This window comes from Homo sapiens, chromosome 9 (genome assembly GCF_000001405.40).
Source record: "Homo sapiens chromosome 9, GRCh38.p14 Primary Assembly".
Lineage (NCBI taxonomy): Eukaryota > Metazoa > Chordata > Mammalia > Primates > Hominidae > Homo > Homo sapiens.
This window is the reverse complement of record NC_000009.12, coordinates 67,180,582-67,196,496: the sequence shown is the minus strand read 5'-3', so window position 1 is coordinate 67,196,496 and position 15,915 is coordinate 67,180,582. Positions and strand designations below refer to the sequence as shown.

The 15,915-nt window shown below is 37.2% G+C and overlaps 2 pseudogenes across 1 annotated transcript in view; both read right to left on the bottom strand.

The window, feature by feature from the left end:
• CNTNAP3P2 (CNTNAP3 pseudogene 2) overlaps positions 1-15,915 on the bottom strand; it is a 237,697-nt pseudogene that overhangs the window by 100,660 nt on the left and 121,122 nt on the right. Inside the window, exons 5-8 of the transcript NR_111893.2 lie at positions 7,509-7,712; positions 6,675-6,859; positions 5,322-5,465; positions 720-981 (exon numbers count right to left, since the gene is read on the bottom strand). The product of NR_111893.2 is annotated as a CNTNAP3 pseudogene 2 (transcript). The remainder of the gene's footprint in view (positions 1-719; positions 982-5,321; positions 5,466-6,674; positions 6,860-7,508; positions 7,713-15,915) is intronic.
• LOC100421690 (NSA2 ribosome biogenesis homolog (S. cerevisiae) pseudogene) lies at positions 3,089-3,910 on the bottom strand (annotated as a pseudogene).

The window sequence follows — 15,915 nt, the reverse complement described above, 5'->3', positions numbered from 1 at the left end:
AACAGGCCCTGATGGGGAGTGCGGATGTGAGGGCCTGTGTGTGGGGTGGGCATTGTGCTAATAAAATCAGACTTCCTATTGTTCTCCCTGCAAAGGAGATCTGAGGTTTACCACTTCACAAGTGAAAACAGCTGAGGCTTAGGAGGCTTCGTGATTTACATTTCAGAAGGGCAGTAAGTGGAGGAGCTGAGATTCTTCCAGGGTGCCCGGCTATCCCAGAAAACGAATCAGCCATCAATGAAAGAATAAGAACTCTTGGTATTTGCCGGGCATCTTTCCCTGTAAAGTGATAGTTATCAATTGCCTACTGTGTATAGAATATTTGTGCACAGACCCTGAGCGGCAGGGCGGAGAAGGGAAAGGAGAAGGAGGACAGGAGAGGAATGTGCCTCTAGGTATTGTCTGTTCCATGAGGTCCTGACCCTAGTTCTTTGGGATGGAGGCTGGTATATGTTTGTCAGGAAATGGAGCTCAAGGGTATTCCTTGTATATGGGAAGGTACATCTGCAGAAATATGCATTTCATATTTCTCATATATAGTCATTTTGGTCAAAAGAACACTTTAGTGGCAGCGGGGTGTACCACACAGAACAGTCTAAAAGGAAGCAGCAATCTGTTCCTCTAGTGGGGGCATGGAGCATCTCACTGCCTCACTCACTCACTAATTACCAAATGATTTCCGTGTGGATATGTCAGGTTTATGGGAATACAACTCTTACCTGCTGTGACATTCCTTGGTGACTGTCCCGCCTGGAAGAGACTCAGTTTGAGCTTGCCATCCTTAAGAAAGAGGACGAAACTCCCTGAACCACGTTGAAGTTCGCCGAAAAGCAAATGTCCTGCTCTGTTCCACGTTCAAAATTGAAAAGTGACAGACACTTTGTCCTCCCCAGAGTTGCCTGGCAGAGCCAGATAACTCCTGGAGCTCAGAAAAGTCACAGGGACAGTCTGTGGCTGTGGACATGAGAAGGACACATTTCCCTATAAATAAAACAAAAGAGCACATTGAGCAGCCTTACAGGTGGTGCTTCTATCTAATTAAAGCCAGATTTTACGAAGACGTACAAGGCTTTTTATCAATCCAGGATTAGTCTGCCTGCTAAAGCTGAAATCTATGACATTTATCTTCTCTTTCAACATAAGTATTATTATAATTGGGCAGACATCCATGTGGCTTTCTGTATGTGTGTGAGAAATTCTCCACTTCTCTACTTCTCAGCATTAGTAAAGGAGTCTCAATATAATTTTAGTTCAACAGGAGTTTAATCTATGCCAGCTATTTTCCAGGCCCTGTGCTAGCCCTGAGGATACAGCAAATAACAGGACATTTTCATACTCAGTCTTTCTCCTGAGCAACATTTGGTCTTCTCTACACAATCCTCAAAATCTCTATTGAACCAGCTTACTATTTTACTGGTTCCCTCATTAACGAATTGACTAAATCTTTGACACATGCTTATTTGATATTTGTATTGGTCATATTTTTAGCTGTTGGAAAGTTATATTTGACAGCCTTTCAAATGGTTTTCAGATCTAATAGTTATATACAATGTTTGCATATAGTATTTTTAGCATGAAAACATTGATGTTTTTATATAGTCAATTATGTCTATATTGTATTTTACAGCTTCTGAGTTTCCAATCTTCGTTAAGAAAGTTTCATACTACCCTAGGTCCTACATACAACCTCATAGATTTTCTTTAAGATTGTTGTTTGTTTCTCATCCTCTTTAATTTACATATTCTTAGTGTGTATAAGATAGTGATCATGCTTATTTTCTGCCTTATGGACACTTGTTTGTTCCGGCAGAATTTCAGAAATAATTCATCCCTGTTCCACTGAATTGAGCCACATTCCTTGTTACTAACAACTTTGCACATAAACTGGGATCTTTCTGAGATCTTGACTGTTCTACTGACTTCTCTGTTCCTATCCACTACCATACTGATTCTAGTATAGAAGCTTTTAGCATGCTTTAATATCTGGTAAGTCAACATCTTACTAGGTTTTTAAATGGTTTTTGTTTGTTTGTTTGTTTTGCTTTGTTTGGCTGGTGAAAGGAATAAGCAATTCTTGGGCATTATTCACACATAGGAATTTCAGTTCCAGAGAAAAACCACAGTAATTCTGATTTTACTTGGAATTTCCATGGATTTATTTCTAATATACTATAAATGATTTTAGAAAAAGAATGTTACTGGAGCAGGACAGCTCATCTAGGGTAGTGGCTCTCAAACCTAGCTAAACAGTCGAATCACCAGAAGGGCTCTTAAAATCCAGATACAGACCATTTAAAATCCCGATCTCTGGAGGTGGAGCCAGGTAAAGGTATCTTTTGAATCTCCTCTGGTGACTCCAAGATAAAGCCAAGTTTAAGAACCACACTGATCCAGTGGTAAAACAATTTTCAAAACAGAATCACATGTTTAAAAAATTTTGTCCCAACATACTTTAGAAATGGATATAATTCAGTTATCATTTTATAATAATCTTTAATACACATTCTAACTGTATACATCAATCAGAACATTTCTTCTTGACTATTTTTGTAATTCTGCTAAATGGAAAACAGTTTTCATGACAAGAAAACATTTGCAGAAGAAAATTTAAAAAAGAAAACATTTGCTGTAACGAACTAAATACCAAAAGCTTACAACTAATTGGCGCTGATCCGTAGTACACATGTAATCACTGGACTATTACATATTTTTTATCTTTTTATCAGCTGTATATTTCTTGACCTCATCATTTAGGTGGGTAGCTGCCTGCTACAACAGAGAAGCAGGGCTTCTTGCCACAGAGGAGTGCTTGTTAGTTGACTAATGAATTCTGGCAACTGATTTTCCCAAGAAAATACATTTTTAAATGTTTTCCTTTTATATATTGGAACAACTATTTTCCTGTTTTTATACAGAACACATAGAATTGTAGTAATTCTTAAAATGGAATTCCCATAATTAACATTATATATCCATATGCACAATTTGGAATGAATTGTCTTTTTGTTTTTGTGTGAAACTTACACATTTTAATAACCTCATTCAATGTAATTAGTAAATAGTTTTCTTGAGGATGATGTCCAGAACCCAGAGACACCAGCTTAACTGTGGTTCTCCTTATTGGCTATACTCAATAATTCCATCAGTGAACCCATCAGTAATTCAGAATAACATGGAATGTATATGAAAACCTGTGTCTATTGTCCTCAAATAGTCTTGTCTCTTTGTGTCATAAGGCCCAACTCACTCTTCCTCACTTCAATGACAGTGTCTTTGGAAATAGCCCCATAGAAGTTAGGGTGAGGAGGAGGGATTCTTCTGAACACCAAGGACTGGCAGATAAAAGGTAGCTTAATATTCAGAACGTGTTAGGTCAGGCTTCTTGACACGGATGCCCATTGGCCAAACCCATCTTTGTATCTGTATCTGAGTAACGCATCTCCAACAAAGCCAACTTCAATAACCAGGTCTTTTTTCTTTTTCCTGTTGAGCAGCACTTAAATGTCAGTTTCTCCATGGACAGAAACTTTAGGTAGAGGGCTGTTCCATTTATCTCCTTCCTCTTTTCATTTCTTTTTCATCTTGTCAAAGGAAACTGCGCTCTGTGGAGCCTTGTTATCACTCTTCCCTTTGGTGTTTCCTTTTTCATGTATCTTGATGGTATTTTTCATTTTTATGATCTCAGCAGGGTGCTGTTCATAGTAAAACTTAGACTTCAAACCCAACTTTTTTTTTTTTTCTCCTTTACCTTCTTGGAAAGTTCATGGGCTTCACAGCTGTTTTTCCCCTTTTCTCATGCTAACCTAAGTGATGTATTCATTGTGTGGTCTGGTGACACACAGTCAGAGATATTTTCAGGTTTTGGTCCTGCAACCCATGAGCCAACTCCTCCAGCACATAACAGGAAAGAAAACATGTTTCCAACAATACAAATAAATATTCCCATGATGTGCTGCTGAGATACACTGACAACTAAACATGAGCTTTCCCTTTAACCCAACTTAGATATTTCAAACTTTAAACATTGAAAGAAGTTTATTAACTGATTTGGAAGTATTTCCAGTTGATTAGGGAATAGATCATTAGGGACTGCCATTGCAAAATGATTGGTCTCCTGTGGATAACAACACCAAAAACACGTGAGACATATGAATTCTGATTTCCATGTAAAAATAGAAAGTTACTTTATTTCATATAAAAATGAAACAATGATGTCCCATGAGGCATATTTACTTTATAACTTTTTATGCATAATAAAAATTACTATATTAGGCTGGGTAAGGTGGCTCATGCCTGTAATCCCAGCATTTTGGGAGGCCGAGGCGAGTGTATCGTCTGAGGTCAGGAGTTTGAGACCAGCCTGGCCAATGTGGCAAAACCCTGTCTGTACTAAAAAAAATTAGCCAGGTGTGGTGGCACACACCTGTAGTCCCAGCTACTCAGGAGGCTGAGGCAGGAGAATGGCTTGAACCCAGGAGGCAGAGGTTGCAGTGAGCCAAGACTGTACCGCTGCACTCCAGCCTGGGCAACAGAGCAAGACTGCATCTCAAAACAAAAACAAAAACAAAAACAAAAAAAGTGCGCCTGTGGTCCTATCACTTTGGGAGGCCAAGGTGGGCAGATCATGAGGTTGGGAAATCGAGACCATCCTGGCTAACATGGTGAAACCCCGTCTCTACTAAAAATACAAAAAGCCGGGCATGCTGGTGGGCACCTGTAGTCCCAGGTACTCGGGAGGCTGAGGCGGGAGAATGGCGTGAACCCAGGAGGCAGAGCTTGCAGTGAGCCAAGATCGTGCCACTGCACTCCAGTCTGGGTGACAGAGTGAGACTCCGTCTCAAAAAAAAAAAAAAAAAAAAAAAAAAAAATTGGCCAGGCCCGGTGGCTCACACCTGTAATCCCAGCACTTTGGGAGGCCGAGGCAGGCAGATCACCTGAGGTCAGGAATTCGAGACTAGCCTGGCCAACATGGCGAAACCCCGTCTCTACTAAAAGTACAAAAATTAGCTGGGCATGGTGGCGGGCGCCTGTAATTCCAGCTACTCAGGAGGCTGAGGCAGGAGAATTGCTTGAACCTGGGAGGCGTAAGCTGCAGTAAGCTGAGATTGCGCCGCTGCACTCCAACCTGGGAGACAAGAGAGAGACTCTGTCTCAAAAAAATAAATAAATAAATAAAACTAAATTACTATATTACATGGGCAGCTGTTAAAGTAAGAACTGATTCTTAAAATATTAGATGAAATGGAGACTTCACATGAATAATTTTTAAATGCAAAAAATAAAATGTCCTTTTTTCTTTCCTTCCCATTAGGCTTCCTTACCATCATGAGGATCTGTGGTTTGTGTTTCTTGGCTAATTCGGTAACATCCACTCCATTATAATAAAGATTTTCTAAACACCCATGAAAGCTTTTACGTGTGAATGCCCGCGATCTTCCGGGTGTCGGAATTCCCCCAAAGCTGATCTTAGAAAGAAAAATGACATAAATAACATTGTTTAGTGATTTTCTGATGGTACGTGTTTAAAGCATTTATAAATTAATAGGTCTAGTACTAATTGTCACAAATCCATTCCCATTATCTTATATTTGCATGCTTGCTTATTCCAAATGAAGTGTTCTATCATAATGGCAGCTGTTAATACCTTTATTTCTGGCACCACACAGTTTTGAACAAACTTAAAAGGAAGAAGTCAACACACATTTTCTGCCACGTTGAAATTTTCAGCCATGTAGTTAAATTTACCCTTTGTGGGTCATATGATCTCTTTTGCAGCACTCAACTCTGACACGAAGTACCAATGTGGCCACGGACAACACATAAAGAAAGAGAATATGTTCCAATAAAACCTTCTCTTTTGAACAAAAACAGGCTTTGTATTTTTTTAATTAAAAAATGTCCAAACTTGGCCTGATGCCCAGTTTGCCAACCTCTGCATTAGATATTATCTTTTGCTATTACATGGTTAAATTAAAGTAATAAAACTGAATAATCCAGTATAGGACTAGGATCTTCAGTTTAATATTATATGCCAAAGCCACTTATGCCAGTAAATATCACAGTTTTTCTGGTTTGTTCTGATCCTTCATACACTTTAAGGTGTCCTGTGAAGGACTGGAAGAATAGATGCTATTTAACAGTGTAGCTTAGATACATATGGGCAATGGGTTGCAAAAAGCATTAATGACTTAAAAAATATCAGGATATTATTTATATGTGAGCATCTGACTTTCTTGTTATTTAATAAATCTATTGGTGTTTATCTTGTTAACTTCTCAAAGTGATCCTAAATAATGCTATGTTGGTTAGGATTGCACCAAGACAAGAAAAAAAATCCCCCAGGAATCTGCATAGTCAAACAACAAGTGTAATATACCAGATGAAATTTCAAATGAAATATATTCAAATGAGTACATTTAATAACAATGCTACCTTGGTATTTCTGCATTTGTGGATTTCCTAACACTGACTGTTTACTTCTTTTCAAGGTGGAAAAGTTGATCTATTATAATAAACTGACCTATTAGAAGGCATAAACAGTTTCATAGTACCGGGACAGACATACCTATTACTATTAGTCAACTTAGTTATGAATTACTATAAAATGGCATTTCTCTATGCAGCTACCTTATTTTTCAGGTTATATTTAATTTAAACTATATATCTATAATAACCTCAAAATTAAGATCCAAGTTACTGGAATCTCCCTTTGCTTGGAAATGATGAGTGTGTTTGTCCACAGTGAAGTTGACCTGCGTGTGGAGGAGCTCGATGAGGACGGAATGCCAGTGCTGGTCATCCAGCAGGCTGCCCAGGGTGAGGGTCACAGGAGCAATAGTGGAAGGCAGCTTAGCATTGCCTTAAAAGGAGAAGGAAAAAAACAGTTATTTCTGTTCAAAATCACGGCTTCCCTTTTTTAGTTGAGCATCACAGTTTGCATCCAACTTTCCATCTTACAGAGTTGTTTTCTCACTTTCTCCCTATCTTGAACACAATAACCTTACCCTGTTTTTATTTTTTTAAGTTCAATTCTACACTTTGTTGAAATTTTTCTTAGTATTTTTTCTATTACTCATGACATTTGGATTTACATTGCAAATATTTTCTTTCTTAGAACCTCATTATCAGCATTATCTCATAATTTTATAATGATGTATTGTCTTTATGATATGGATAATCATATATTACATATATATTATACACACATATGGTGATCTTGCACAGTTTGTCAAAATATATGCTGTTTACAGAAATCATACTTAGGATATGTATTGCATGCATCTGGTAGTAATGCTCTTAAACTTTCATTTACATTTGTTCATTGCAGTTCTACTTTGCACTTACTGTCCCAGAGTAACTATCACTTGTGTATTTTTTATTTCTTAAAGGTGTTCTGGTTTAGATGATGAATTATATGGTCATTTTATCTAACTGTGAAAAGACTGAGTACCAACAAATGTAAACAGATTTTTTTTAACTACTGGTATAAAGTTCAAGTATTTTTTTACCTGAATTAAGAAAAAAGACAAGCTTTCTTTTAATTAATTCCAGAGTAATGTGATTTCCATGTTGTCCTTCTCTGTGAAGTAGAATTCCATTGCTCTGCATGGCTTTAAATTTCAAAGAAATAACATCTCTTATTGGTTTTAAAGGTTTTTTATCAAGTGTATACAGCAGAGCACTTTGTCCATCAAAATAAACCACCTCAGATTCTAGGAAAGAAGATATTAAAAAGCAATTCTAAATATAAATATGCCATACAGTAGCACATTGAAAATGTGTGCATCCATATGCCACACCACACACACATAGACACACATTGTATTTCTAAGCCATTCACTGAAGGAAACAACTGACAATAATATATTTTCTGGTGGCATCAGGAGTTGATATATGTAATACCCACTGTTAGATTTTTCTAACATTTTCTCAAACTTCATCATCTAGAAATGCTTTTATTAATCTACTCCCAATGGCTCTTATCTTTAGAGCAGCCCATTTCTTCTCATTCTGTTTGATTAAAAACACTCAGGAAAGAAGTCATATTTCACTACATAAATTATTTATTTTAAGGTCACTCTTATATTAAATATCAGTGTCACTCAATTTAAATACCTTTGTTCATTCCCAGTAGCTTTGGCTTCTCTTAATTCTTACACATGTACCTACTTTACTAAAGATTTTGTCTGTAAAGATACAGAAACACATATCATACTTATTAATTACTGCTTTAGACATGTAATAAATGTATTTTAAATGAGCTGACATGTAATATTTTTCTCAACCCTCAGCTAATGGTACTGCTAATGGGCACTGCAATGTGTCAACTTGGCTAGGCCATGGTAAACAGCTTTTGGTCAAACACTAGTCTTGATGTTGCAGTGCAGGTATTTTTTAGAGGTAACCAATATTAAATCAGTAAACATTGAGTAAAGCAGGTTAAACTCTATAACGTGGGTGGGCCTCATCCAATCAGTTGAAGGCTGTAAGAGAAAGAAAGAAAACTGAAGTTCTCTAGGAAAGAAGGAATTTTGCCTCCAGACAACCTCTGGACTCCAGCTGCAATATCACCTCTTACCTAGGACTTGCCAGTCCTTACAATCAGGTAAGCCAATTCCTTAAAACTCTCTCTCTCTCTCTACACACACACACACATACACACACACACACACACACACACAGGCACACAGACATCCTATTGGTTCTGTTTCTCTGGAGAGCCCTGACTGACAAAGGCACAGAGGTTTTGTTTTCTTGGATGCTTTGTTGAGAGAGCATGGCCTTAACACCTCTGTTTTGGTTCTTCCTGCTGTAGCTTGTCAGAACTCCAATGCTGCCACACTCTCTCAGCACTCTGTCAGGGTCTTATAAATTCACTATAAATGTCACATATGTTCAGCTCATCAAAAAACAAGTTGTTTCATTTTATCAGTAATATAAAATAATATTTGATAATATTTGTCAAAATCACATGAAGAAATTAATATTACCCAGAAAATCTCTTCTTTTTAAAAGTAAAAAGAAAAATAAGCAATTGTCCTTTGAAAAATATATTTATTTAATAAATGAAGATGCATGAAAACCTAGTGAAATATGAAACTATTTGAAGCTGATGAGCTGATGTCATTCAAGCCAATAAGATGGCATTGTTTAATTATATTTAATTTCACAAAAATATTACTAGTACTTTTTGCATGGCTATCCATTTCATTCACAGTATCTGAAATACATATAATAAACTGCACTTCAAAAGTTCTCCATTTTATGTATCATTTTAAAATTTAGAAGTTTGATTTTCTCACATTGGGTTAATGTACTTACAAGGAATTAATGTATCAAGTGCATGATGAATAAGCACATTCTGAGTAAAATATGTGTAAATTAAACAATTATTCCTTGTTACATAACTTATTATGTGTTCATGATAAAAACAAAACTCTCTGTCAAATGTAAATGAAGACATCTAAGATTATTATTCCCTGGCCATGAACTAAGGGAAACTTGAAAAAGATTGACTACAGACTTTCACATTTTTAGCACTTCCCTTATACTTATAATCATGTCTTTATTTGTTGCTTAAAGAAAATGCTAATATTTGAGCTATTTTTTTTTAGTTGACTAACAAAGTTTTCTTCCCGAAAAGGTTTTTTCTGGATTATTGCAACCTATACATTTCTTTTTCTCATTCTATGTTTACTATTACTCTCCAACAGCAGTATTGATCTTCTAAGGCATGTGAAGTACAGTTCCTGGAATGTTTCCCTCAGGCAAATAGAATAGTAAAAAACTTATCAAGTAAAAGAGACATAAAGCAATGACCTTGAAACTCTTTTGTTCTTTAGCTAATACCTTGATTTTTTCTTTATTGTAATCGCTAGTGCTTGTATCTAGAAATTTAAGAATATACTTATAGCTCATTATGCATATTTTAAAATAAAAGCAGATTAATGAATTGTAAATCCAAACTTTCTAAAAATCATAAAACATTCTATGATTTATGAAGTCAATACATAAAAATATGAAACAAAAAATGATGTTTGGGATGGAAAGCATTGAGTTCAATAAGTCAACAGTAATGAGCCCACCAAGATCAGCACTGGAGAGGGACAACTCCCATGTAGTCCCTCTTGAATAAGATCCTCCCACTGGAGAAGCAAAATTTCAAGTCTTGGTCTTTAGAAGTAATGCTAAAAGGTAAACTCTCTTCTCACTTGTCCACAAAAGTCATACTTTTAGCATTTTAAAACACTTGCAAGAGCAAAGAAAAGTTCTCCCAGCTGGTCAGGTGCAGTGGCTCATGCTTGTAATCCCAGCCCTTTGGGAGGCTGACGCGGGCAGATCACTTGGGCCCAAGAGTTCGAGACCAGCCTGGGCAGCATGGCAAGACTGGTCGCACTTGCTTATATTCCCAGCTACTTGGAAGGGGGAGGTGGGAGGATCGCTTGAGCTCGGGAGGTGGAGGCTGCAGTGAGCAGTGCTTGTGTCACTGCACCCCAGCCTGGGCAACACAGCAAGACCCCATTTCAAGAAAGAACAGTTCTACCTAGCCATAATCAATGCAAATATTCCCCTACAATATATATTTGAATAATACACTAAAATAAAATAATTCCAGTAACACATTTAATATAATCTTTTCTCAGAAATCTGTTGGAAAAAATCCTTTGTATGAAATTCAATTATATAAATAGGAAATGTAGTGGAATACTGGAAAATTAATGTCACTTATTATGTTTACGATAAAATCCAACGTTCCTCAAAGTTTTCAGAATGAAAGCCTTGCTATCCAAAATGAATAAAGAAAACTTAGCTTGTGGTTTAAAGCAGGAAGTGCTTTTCTAATTTTATATGAATTTAGTTTATAATTATTAGCTTTATTAATTAAGATTATAGTTTTGATTGCTGAATCTCGATCAGTATTAGCAATGTGGACCCCTGACATGTTAGTCTGTCACCATTAGATCAGGAGCCACATTTTCTAGTACACTAGAGTATATACTGTGTGGGCTTGAATCCTGACTCCATCCTGGAAAAGTTACATAGCCTCTCTCTGCCTCAGTCTACTCATAAGTGAAGTGAGAACACATACACTCCTCTCTCACAAGATCGTTGTGAGGGTTAAATGAGTTAGTATTTGTACTTTTACAACAGTGCTGGGCACATGGGGTACCTTCAGTGAACGACTGCTTCATTATTATTGTCAGGGCACTGGGCAGAAAAAGAGGTGGAAATGAGTTTAAAATAGCACATAGGGGATATATAGGAAAGTAGACAGCTTAAAATGATAGCAGATTTAATTTTTGAAGGACCTAGGAAATCTTCAGTTTCCACCAGGAAAAAGAGATTTACAACCATTCATCCACACTTACACAGCTCCTTCTCTGCCAGCCAGCTTGTTCCTGGGCTGACTCACTTCAATCACTGGTAACCTAAATCTTACTCAGAAGTATTAATATATCTATCTCATTTTCTTGTGTTAGAGGACCACGAGAGTTTTTAAATGATACTTGAAGATTATTGGTGCAATTATAATGTTTTTGTCACACTTCCTCAAAGAATACCGGAAAAGCTAAGGACAGATGTGTTCACAAAGTTCCCAAATACGAATTCTTGCAGATAAAGAACTTTGTCATACAAGGAAGAACTGTGTCAGAAGTAATTTTGCTAAAATGTGTTATGTCCTCATTCATACAGCTAATATTCACTGAAAGCCTTCCATATGCAGGTGAAAGATAAAAATGCAGAAGACAATGAATTACTTTTAAGGATCCCACAGTATGGAAAAGAGGACATATAATCCTGAAATATGATTGTTTCTGCCACATTCACAGTGATGCTTCTGTAAACAGGCATCTGGTCCAGAATGACTTCTAAGAAAGGATAAGGAAGGAGTCTACCTGCTTTAGACTCCTGCAAAGTATGACGCCTCTGAAAAGCTAAGACATAAGTAATTTTGAGTTGTTATTTCCTTTATTTCCTTACGCCATATTTTATCTTCACATTTTACTTTTATTAGAAACAGAGACTCACTCCGTTGCCCATGCTGTAGTGCAGTGGTACCTTCATAGCTCACTGCAGCCTTGAACTCCTGGGCTCAAGTGATCCTCCAGCCTCAGCCTCCCAAGTAGCTGGGATTATAGGCATGCACTACAATGCCTGGTTAATTTTTTACTTTTTTTCTAGAGATGGGGGTCTCACTATGATGCCAAGGCTGGTCTTGAATTCCTGGGCTCAAGCAATCTGCCCACCTCAGCTTCACAAAGTGTTGGGATTACAGGCATAAGCCACCCCACCTGGCCTACTTTCACATTTTTCACACCCAGAATGTACTCTTAAATCTGGCTTCTCATTACTACTTTTCTACTTCTCACTGTCATTCTAAGCACAGGCATGTCTCATCCCCATCCTACCTTGTACTGCCTTTTCAGGGGAAACATCAACATTGAGAGGAAAACATTGCTTGAAAACAGCAAGATTCCATAGGGTGCAAACACTGATGTCTTACAAAAGAAAAAAAAAAAAAACACGATTCCACAGAAATTTTCTTAAAGTGTTCTATCAATCACCTTCACTCAGATTGACTAGGAGTGACCACTTGGAGACTTTAGAACGTGAGCCTCAACCAGACCAGGAATCAGGATTTCTGTGGTTGAGACCCAGGGGTTTGCATATTTAATAAGCTAACTAGGTAGCTGTGATGACACAAAGGCTTCAGGATGATTTATCAGGGATAATGGGCAAATTACAGAGGTTTACTCTCTAAATAAATTGAATATTAATTCCAATATGGGGTGAGGCACAGTGGCTCACACTGTAATCCTAGCACTTTAGGAGGCAAAGGCAGGTGTATCATTTGAGGTCAGGAGTTCAAGACCAGCCTGGGCAACATGGTAAAATTTCTACTAAAAATACAAAAAAATCAGCTGGGTGTAGTGGTGCATGCCTGTGATCTCAGCTACTCAGGAGGCTGAGGTGGGAGAATAGCTTGAACCCAGGAGGCAGAGGTTGCAGTGAGCCAGGATTGCTCCACTGCACTCCAGCCTGGGCAACAGAGAGAGACTCCCTCTCAAAAAAACAACAACAAAACCCACAATTGCCAATATGGAAACATAAATATCATTTTCATAGAGTTATAATTTATATTCAATAAATTTAAGGTTATAGTTCAATGAGTTTTAACAAATATATATACCTACGTTATTGCCAAAGAATCAAGGTGTAGGCAATTTCATATCAACTCACTAATTGCCATTTGCATCAAACTCCCAACACTGTCACCGAGACCCAGACCCAGACCCAGGAAACCAATGATCTACATTCCGTAACTACAGATTAGTTTTGTCAGTTCCAAAATTTCATAAAATTGTATCGTGTATGTGTTCTTTTGTGTCTGAGTTCCTTGCTAAGTGTAACATTTTTGAGATACACACATGCTGTTGCATATATCAACAGTCTGTTCTTTCTTATTGCTTGGGGTATTCAACTGTTTGACAACTTGTTTATCCATTTACCTGCTGATAGACATTTGAACTGTTTCCAGGTTTAAACTCTTATAAATAAAGCTGCTAGGAACATTCACACATACATCTTTATGTTGACATATGCATTCATTTCTGCTGGGTAAATACATGGGAGTGGAATTGCTGAGCTATATATTAAGTGTATATTTAGCTTAGAAGAATGCCAAATTGTTTTCCAAAGTGATAGTATCATTTTCACATTTCCCACCAGCAATGTATGAGAATTCCATATCTTTGCCAAACACTTGGTGTTTCCACCCTTTTTAATTTTAGCCTTTCTGCTAGGTGTATAGTGGTTTCTCATTGTGATTTTATTTCTCTAAAGACTAGTGATGATTCATTTTAATATAATAATAAGTTAGAATAGATGTATTGGGATTCCGTAGATCAATTCGGGGAGGATGATAAGAATATTGAATCCTGCAATCGATGAATACACAAAGCTTTCCTAGGAAATATTTGCCTTTATTCACTCACATATTTTCTTTCCTTCTGGGCATAATAAGAGGAACTTAGGGAAAACAGGCCTTGGTTCTGCATTCTCAGTAAAGGCCTTGATCTCTATCTTTAATTTTCATGCATGATCTTTCCTCTCTATTTCTTTTCTTTCCTCTCTCTTTTCTCCTTCTCCCATTTCCTGGTAAAGATAGTTGATTGCACAGAGTCTGGAATCCTCTGTGAGTAGGTTCACATTCCAATTCTTCAACTTACTTATTTCTGATGGACATGGATTTACTTTTTCATCTTATTTTGAGTTTCTATTTATTTTACTTTTTTATTACAAATTTTTATTTTTTTTGAGACAAGGTCTCACTCTGCCACGCAGGCTGGAGTACAGTGGCATGATCTTGGCTCACTGCAGCCTTGACCTCACTGGGATCAAGCGACCCTCACACCTCAGCCTACTGAGTAGCTGGGACTACAGGCACACACCACCATGTCCAGATAATTTTTGTATTTTTTGTAGAGATGGAGTTTTGCTGTGTTGCCCAGGCTGGGCAATCAAGTAATCTGCCTGCCTTGGCCTCCTAAAGTCCTGGGATTACAGGCATGAGCCACTGTGACCGGCTTTATTTATTTTTAAAAAATATTTATTGAAATTTAATTAGCACTTCAGTGTTTTACAGAAAAATAATTTTCCAAAATATTAAGTAGATTGTATTATAAACACATTATTATATGAAAAAATTATATACACTTTGTTTTCTTCAATACATTTCCCATGGCATTAAAAGAAATGCAGTTAGTTATATTTTCAGTTATGACAAGCAAACATTCAGAAGACTACACTTCCTACCAAGGACAAGTAGAAAATGTGTACCAAGTAAAGTTTAAATAATCTTCTTGAAAGTTTTAAAGATCTACTATGACTGCCAGGACTCAAGAATGTAAAGATCTTAGAAGACAAGCTCAGAACACTCTTTCTGCTTTTACCCTTGAAGCACTGGTCAACTCCCAAGGAGCAATGGGCAAGAGACAAGGTGGCCAAGCAGAAAGTGACAGGACAGCTATGAGGCTGGGTCACGAAGCAGGGGTCTCTGTAGACTCATCACAATTAGGAGTCAGATGGCAGAATTCAGAGATTTTCAAAAAAATGTTTTGGCAAAGGCCTTCAAATCTCAGTTGGGACTAGTGAAGCATTGTACTCCAGATATAAGATATCAACTAGGCCTCATGGGGACTGAGACGCTGCACTGAGTCAGTTAAATGCTGATTTGAATTAACAACTGTGCCTAATCTAGAAGCCTATCAGAGGCTGTGGTGGGGATTCACTGGGGGATCACTTTGTCTTCTCTAGCCTCTACAAATTTCTGTCCAACATGTCCAGAATTCAGCCAAAATTATCAGACATCAAAACGGAAACAAAAACCAGACAATGGAAAAGATCAAGAGATAATCCAGATATTGAAGTTAACGAAAAATCTTTAAAATAACTGTAATTAATATTTCCAGGAAAATAGAGAGCAAGATAAGGAGTTTCACTAGGATACATGAACAGAAATTCCCAAACTGAAAATCGCAATAACTAAAATTAATAGCTCACTGGCATATTCAACAACAGATTGGTCACAGCAGAAGATCTGATTAGTAGTATAGAAGATAAAGCAGTACACAATGTCTAGACTGCAGCATAAATAGAAAGAAAAGATGAAAGAGGAGAGGGAGAGAGAGAAGCAGGAGGAGGGAGAAAGAGAGAGACAAAGAAAGAAAATAAGATACAAACATCTCAGACAGATGTAATTGGAGTCTCAGAAAGGAGGAAAGGAAATGCGAGACAGAGGCAATATTTTGAAGAAGTAACAGTGAAGAATTACCCAATCTAATAATCAATGCACAGAAAAAAGAAATTTAGTGAAATCCAAAGAGGACAAATTCAGTGAAAACTAAAATAGCC